This window comes from Homo sapiens, chromosome 5 (genome assembly GCF_000001405.40).
Source record: "Homo sapiens chromosome 5, GRCh38.p14 Primary Assembly".
NCBI lineage: Eukaryota > Metazoa > Chordata > Mammalia > Primates > Hominidae > Homo > Homo sapiens.
In genome coordinates, this window is record NC_000005.10 from 73,934,789 (window position 1) to 73,942,453 (window position 7,665).

Sequence of the window (7,665 nt, forward strand, 5' to 3'; positions counted from 1 at the left end):
ACAAACTTGATTTACCCGGAATTTCATCAGTTTATTTGACCACTACATTCTTTTATCGTCAATATCTATTGGCATCCTGTTTAGAGAAACATACTTTGAAATGCATCTCAAGGAAGAGGGAAATGTAGAATTGTTTGCCCCATACTCCCACGGGGCTTGTGATGTGAAGGCCATGGCTCCCTAACAGTGGCCTTCTTCTTGAGGGAAGGAAGAGCATGAGAGTGAATCAAAGTTCAGACAGCAGAGAGGACTGATGTACTGTATCATATCTCCTGTTAATATAATCTCATCTTCATTGTATGGATTGTTTTCATTTCTGTTTCTTCTCAGCATTGCTTATATAGCCCATATTGACTATTCCAAATATGTTAAGTACTGATTAAAGTTCAACTCCCACAATCACAACTTAAAAAATTGTAACACAATTTGCTCTTACTTCACAAATTTGTACATGTGTTATACATGCCACATACATACACAAACACATGCCCACCCCACAGCACACTTCAGTTGTTTTATTTCAGGTGCAGTATTGGCATATGAAGAATAGAAAAGGGAATTATAATACTAATTTAGAGTGTTTGCTTCAGATATAAACTCCAGACTGGTTGTCATGCCAGGGGCTCACATCCTATTTGTGGCTCACTATGGAAAAAAATTGAGTTGCACAAAATTATTAGGGACACAGACCAATTTTTATTTGCTCTGAAGATACCTCAAGCTCTGTATGATAAATGTTTTCCATTAGAAGAAAAAATGTTGTGCATTAATGCTCCTGAGAAACCATAGGGATTGCCAGTAATGCCATCAGGAAATGATTTTTTAAATGTTTCAGAGGGTAAATATGAATCAACCACTAAACAGGGAATATAACTTATATTACAGAGTTGGAACAGTAATGATAAAGCCCCCCGCCTTTTTTTAAGTAGAGTTATTCTAGGAAAGTGTGAATTTTTGATTTAGGAACATGCACAAGGGATATAGTAATAAGAAGTACAAGTCAGACACATGATTAAAATAAACAAGAATAGAGCCAAGGCTCAGAAGATACGCAGTTCTGTTTTGTGACCTTTGATGGGGAGGATGGAATGGGATAAGACAGGGAGAGAACTGAACAGCGCGTCATCAGTGCTCTCAATGGCAGACTAAACATGCTTTGTGCAGCCCTGGGCTTCTGGGTGCCTGGCCATGGGGTGCACTGGTGAGCTAAATTCAGACCTTGACAGTGGATGTTTATGAGGAAAGAGATACTGGTGCATTTAGATTTAAATAAAACTTTCATTTAACAATGATCACGATCATGATGCTTTTCTATTCAGCAGGAAATTCAGAAAAAGGCAAAGCCTACATTAATTACTTTTAAACTGTAAGACAACGCTTTTCTACTTGTCACAGACCTATTCTTTATGACAAGTTACTCTTAAGTTTGCTGTTCGTAGGAGGGCAGATCAACTGCGGAGTTTGATTATGGACAATGTCTTCTGCTCATTAGTTAACTTTGCAAATACTATCTTTTGAGGATTGTGTGTGGGCTCACTTCAAATATATGTTCTTAGGAAGACTGAAGATATAGTGCTGGGACAAGTGTGGCAATTACCTTAAAAACATGATTTTGAAATGCTGCATACTGCATTTCAACGCTTCATACCTGCGTCAGATAATGAACTTGGTTGTGTTTCTCAAGTATAAAGCAATTGAAAAATGCATTTTTTGTACCTCAGGAATATTATTTGGTGAATCACTGAGCCCAAATACAACTGTAAAATTTCACACATAACATGAGAAGTGTAAGAGGCCTTAATGATGATTTCAGTTCAATCCTTCATGAGCTGAAGCCCAGAGAGGGGCAATGACTTGCCTGAGATTACATTTTACCTTGTGATGTAAAAGATTTTATTCACATCACAGTTTAGGAGGCACTTGGTTCATTTTATTATTTTTACTTTTATTTTTATTTTTTGTAGAGACAGGGTCTCACTATGTTGCCCAGGCTGGTCTCAAACTCCTGGCCTGAAGTGATCCTCCTGCCTTGGCTCCGCAAAGTGCTGAGATTACAGGCGTGAACTACCATGCCCAGCCACTTTGTTCATTTTAAATATGACACATAGTTGCATTTTATGCACTGAGATGATAGTCTGGTCTTGAAAATAGCCAACTAGTCAGTTGGCTCAAAAGAATGATGATAATGGTGAGCCAATGGAGGGAAGGCTGATTTCTCTTCACTGTTAGAAATGTCAGTATTGGGTAAACAGAGAAAAGTGTGAAAAATGATAAATGCAAGTTCCAACCAGCAGGTTGCACCTAAGGGCTAAATATTGGGAGATTTAGGAAACTTTCTCTGGATATCAGTGCTGTCTGCAGGTGTGTCTCTTGACAGTCTATTTCCTGTCCCACATGCCCACAAAGAAAAGGAATGGTGCCAGCCAAAATGTGGATACCTGTAATTTTTTGAAACCATGTTAGGAGACTAACTTAGACCCCCCACGGTGGTCCTCATAATGTGAGTATCGAAGTTTCCTGCAGAGGCTGAAATTTTAGTTTGTGAACAAAAGCTCAGTAATGTAGCAGAAAAAACTCTCAATCAAGATCCCACTTTTCTACTTGGTTTAGTCAGGCTTTGGGGCTTTTATGTGTTTTAGCTTATTTGCTCTAAAGGTTAATAATGCTCGCTCTGTTTAGTTTCCAGAGATAATGTTAGGGATCAAATTATTTCTTTTATGTCAAGAGGCAAAATTGTGTTGAGATACTTGGCTGAAATGTTTTTTTGTAGTTTGAGTTTTGTTTCATTATAATAATATTCGTTTTTAGTTGACCAAATTATGATTGTATTGCTATTTCCTTGCTTATTAGAAATATGTTATTACATTTTTATGTCCATCGATTTACAGGCAATTCGATCACAAATGAAACTGGGTGATTACTTTTATATAGCAAGAATTCTGCTTTCTGAGTCAGTGAGGTTTAATATTAACAAATGTTTTTTCAGTTTAGGGTTCTATATGATGATCATATTCTCTAGGGTAAAAAGTGTGGAAAAAGGTGGCTGGCCTTGAGAAATATACAATTGCTGTGCTGGTTCTTTCAGAGTTGAAATGGAGTAACAAAATCAGAAATCACCAAACGGTTTCTAATTTCAAAGACAGACTGTCTGACCTTGCCTACATAGTTCAGGTAGAAACCAAGAAGGAACATGGAGAAGGAAATTGAGTTCCCGTCCAGGTGACATACAACCACAACCACCTCCAGTAATACATCTGGAATTACAACATGGGCTGTTCACCTTAGGGCACAACAAGCTCTCACCTAGGAATGTGTTTCTCCTGTATTTTTATTCTTATTTGAAAAAGTTCTGATTAAACTTCTACACTACACCACACACACACACACACACACACACACACACACACACACAACTCCCCATCCCCATCCCCGTTCATTCTTGGTTCTGTATCTTCTTGAAGTAGAGCATACAATGTAACTTAAAAAAGAGTTATTTCTGATATATATTCAATTTGGCTGTTTTGAACAAGTCTTCTCTTGAAGCCATTAAGGGGATTTTCCATGTACCTCAAAATATCACTATTTTGAATTTTTTGCTCCATGTTTCACACCCCAGATGAAGAAAACCTACATAGATTAAGGGCTTCCAGTGTGTCCGGCATTGTCAGATGTGTCAGCAATGACCTCCCAGCTGCCTCATTCACTGGATGATTTTTCATCCTCAATGTAGTAATTTTTGTGCTCTGGCTGGCCCTTCTGTTGGTAAGGAGGCAGGACTGTTGTGGCTTTGGTGACCTGTTCAGTCTGCCAGTGTCTGCTCGATGGAAATTTGGGGGCATTTTTTTGAAGTTGTATAAAATTAAACATCAGCAATTTAGCTGTGCATATTTGTATTTAGAGGTGAAATAGCTTCAGTCTATGGCTGGGAAAAGGAATTGGAAGTGTGACTGCGTGTTGTGACCACAGGCATGCTTTGTCTCCCAGTGTGGTAAAATAGGATTCAGAGCATTCCAGGTTGATTTGTAATGTTGCCCTGACAAGGAAATCATTGCCTGGGAATATTTTTGTTCGCCCGATTAAGGGAGGTTCCTAGTTCTATAACAATTGCTGTGTCAGTTTTGAGAAGCTTAACATTAATATGTCTTTTTTTTTTTTTTTTGCCTTTGCTTTCTTCTTTTTTTTGGCAAGTGACTCTTCAAAATGTAGTATGTAAGGGAGGGAAAGTATTAAACATTGAGGATCTCTTAATTCAGAAAAGATGGCCAAGCCATTTTCAGCACAAAGAGAAATGAGAAGCACGAGAGTCTTGATCATTAGAGCAAGGAGTCATCACGTGGCTGCCATCCTCTGAGCGTAGATCCAGATCACTTCCTAGCTGCATGATGTGGGTCAGAATTTCACTAGCCTGAGCCTCGGTTTCCCAGCCTGTAAATTGTGGGTTTTAGCATTTTGAGACTTAGAGAGAGATGACGAATGTAAAAGACCTGGGACAACTCCTGTGCTCTGTAAATGGTGGCAGTTAGAGGCACCTTCTGCAGGTATGCTTTCAGTTGTTAGTGAGTTCCTGGAATTTGAGGTACAGCATTTAGGATCAGGGGCAGTAGAATCAAGCTTTGTGCCTATTGGCATCTAAAGGGTCAGGGATGGGCTAAGCCTTTGAGCAGAGCTGTGGTTGCAGCCTCACCCCCATGCCTCCCTACCTCTCTTCCTCCCCTCCCCTGCCTTGAGGGTCCTCCTTTGCTTCAGAGGCACAGTCCAGCCTTGGTGCAGCTCCTCCAGGGACCTTCATCGGCTCCTGTGGCCCTGGCTGCTCCTCCTCCATTGACCCACCTCCTACTGGAAGATGGGATGAAATGAGGTGTGGCAAGGCCACCATGTCCCCAAAGATGGAGCCTTCTGGGAAGAGTTTTCCTTTCATTCCTGCCAAGCCTTGCTTACTGCCTTCTCTAGCAACCAAAGATCCTTGTCAGGAGGGCAAAGGCCACAAGCATTTGTGTCATTGGAATGTCTGCACGTGTGTATATCCATCTAAATAATAGAGGCTTTGAAGAAAATGTGGCGAGGGTTACAATGGCCTCTTTTTTTTCTTTATGTTCTTTAAATTTTTTTTTAATTTTAATTTTTATAAGTTTGTAGTAGGTGTATGTGGCCTCTTCTTAATGACTGAAAAATAAGCAGGTGGGCCTCAGAGCTATTTGCCCTCCTTTCCCACCTGGACTTCCATTCCTACTCAGGTTTTTGTTCTAACACAAGCTGGTTATTTGTAATTTTGCCATATGGCTGAGCCTGAGGGTGAGTGGTCAGTGGAACAAGTGCAGGGAAAATGGTTTGCAGCAAGTGTCTTTCTTCAAATCAAGCCTCCCTTTTGTCTCTCCTTGAAAATATAATATTAGAGGATTTTATCAGAAAAAGGGAGAATACACAGTGTCCTGCTGTTGCTAGGTAACCAGAAAACATCAAACCCAGTCAGAGCTGAAACTGGCTTGATTTTCCCTAGGAACCTGGCTGCTCTTGCTGAGTACTTTGTGTAGTATTAACAGATCTGTGATTAACAGCATAATGGTGAGGCTGGAGGGTCTCCTTCATTCTTTCACTTTTTACCCCCACCCCTTGACCACATCAGTAAAGTGCCAAATATGTTATTTGAGCCTTGAAGTCAATTCTTGACTGACAGATATTCTGAGGGAAGGTGCTCTGCAGATGCAAATATAGTTGATTTACACATAGCTGGAGTATATACTGTATTTCCATGACTTTCACCCATTTTAAAAAATAAATGGGCATCCCTTTTTCAGCAATAGCAGCGGTTTAAGATCCCATGAACAGTAACCCATATTTAGTCACAGGAGACATTTGTGCACACAATCGAACATATCTTAATGATATTGATGAATGATTTTGACACCTATTATGTTCCTTTCTCATTGGGCTTGGCCATTCTGTGGCTGACTATATGGGCACTGCATTTCCTAATCTTAGAGAGCTCTAACGCCAAGACATCTGCCTTGTACATCTCAGGTGGCCTCCTGTAACCTGTGCTGTCTGTTTCTTGCAGATTTGGACACCTCCCACACTGAGTCCCCAACCCCCCATGACTCAAATTCACACCGCCCTCAACTGCAGGCGTTTATAACAGAAGCAAAGCTAAATCTACCGACAAGGACAATGACCAGACAAGATGGGGAAACTGGAGATGGAGCCAAAGAAAATATTGTTTACCTCTAATTGTGTTGTCATTTTTCCAAACAAAACAAAACACTGGCACTTTTGGGAGAAACTTTTTGTCTCCATTCCTTATGTATGTGTGATTGTCTGTGTCCAAATTGCTTTAAGAATAATATTTAATATTTCCTGGAAGCTCATTTTTTTGGCATGAGTCTAATTAAATTATTGAAAGCCACCCTGTTTGTATAATCTTTAACTTATCAAATCTAATTTCAGATTTCTGGAGGAGAAACTAACTTGAATAAGCAGGACTATTTTAAAAGTTGTTTTGACGCTAGAGTAAAATTCCATGTCACATTTTCTACCCAATCATCTGGATTTCAAGATTCCTTTTAAGATCTCAATGAAGCAATTTGGATTTAAAGAGTGGTATTCACAAGGGGTGAACTTTCACAGTCAGGGCAGTTGCCTCAGTGCCCACATAGGCAGAGGAGGATGTGGGAAAGGGTTTTTCTCAGCTAGTTTTTGTGTGCTCATTTCTTCTGGGAGCATTAAAAGTGGTGATCTGTTACAGTCACTATTCAACTGGGCACGTGTTGTGATTGGTCAGTCACTGAGCCAGGGATACAGTCCGGACTTGCTTAGTACCTAAGCCTAATGCTGGTGGGGTTTCAAGACATGGTTCAGCATCATCTTTTAACAAGGCCCAGAGGCCCAGAGCCCCCATCAAGTCATTTTGATGTAAATAGTGAACTTTGTTAGAGCCCTCACTTCTATCAATCAGCTGTCCTGTCCCTGCCAGCACCTGGAGCACCAACTACCACTCCCTGGAAAGAACCCTTCCCTGCAGTTTTTTAAGGACAAAACTGCCCACTCCTCATTAAGTTTGCTGCCTGGATACACTTTTCCACAAAGGAAAACTGGCATATCCTGCCTTCCGAGTAGTATGGGTCTCTGTGTGAGAAACCAGGAGATATTTTCATCTTGTTCGGAAATACTTGTATGTATTTTGGTGTCAATAAATATCTTGTACCTCATTATTTTACTTTGTAATTTTAACATTATGTGTAGGACCATAGTAAAACATTCATTTCACACAGACATCTAATCTCACCTCGTGAAAAGTGAAAATAAAGGAAAACTATTAGATTCATCCAAAAATGCAACACCTACTGGGAGTGAGATGTGATAGGAACAGAAAAAAAAAAAAAAAAATCACCCGGATCTCAATAGTTTTTTCTCCCTACTTAAAGTTGTTAAGTTGGATATCTACATTGTGTTTTTACTTAGGCAAGTCCAATCCTAATTTTTTTAAAAGCCCCTTTTGGGGGCAGTCTTTTTCTGACTTTAGCTGGCTATTTTTGTAACAATTACATTAAAAATTCGGTGACTGATCTTTTCACAGAATGGATATAACTTATTAAACTTCTATTCAATCACTTCACCTCTAAGCTGAACTCTTCAATTACAACATGTATCTCCCATTCCTAAAGACATCTA

The 7,665-nt window shown here is 39.7% G+C and overlaps 1 protein-coding gene across 4 annotated transcripts in view; it reads left to right on the top strand.

Moving 5' to 3' along the window:
• ARHGEF28 (Rho guanine nucleotide exchange factor 28) overlaps positions 1-7,202 on the top strand; it is a 315,795-nt gene extending 308,593 nt beyond the window's left edge. For all 4 annotated transcript variants that reach the window (NM_001080479.3, NM_001177693.2, NM_001388076.1 and 1 more), the window contains one exon: positions 6,056-7,202. In NM_001080479.3, the coding sequence (NP_001073948.2) occupies positions 6,056-6,225 (170 nt within the window). In that variant the 3' untranslated portion in view covers positions 6,226-7,202. The remainder of the gene's footprint in view (positions 1-6,055) is intronic.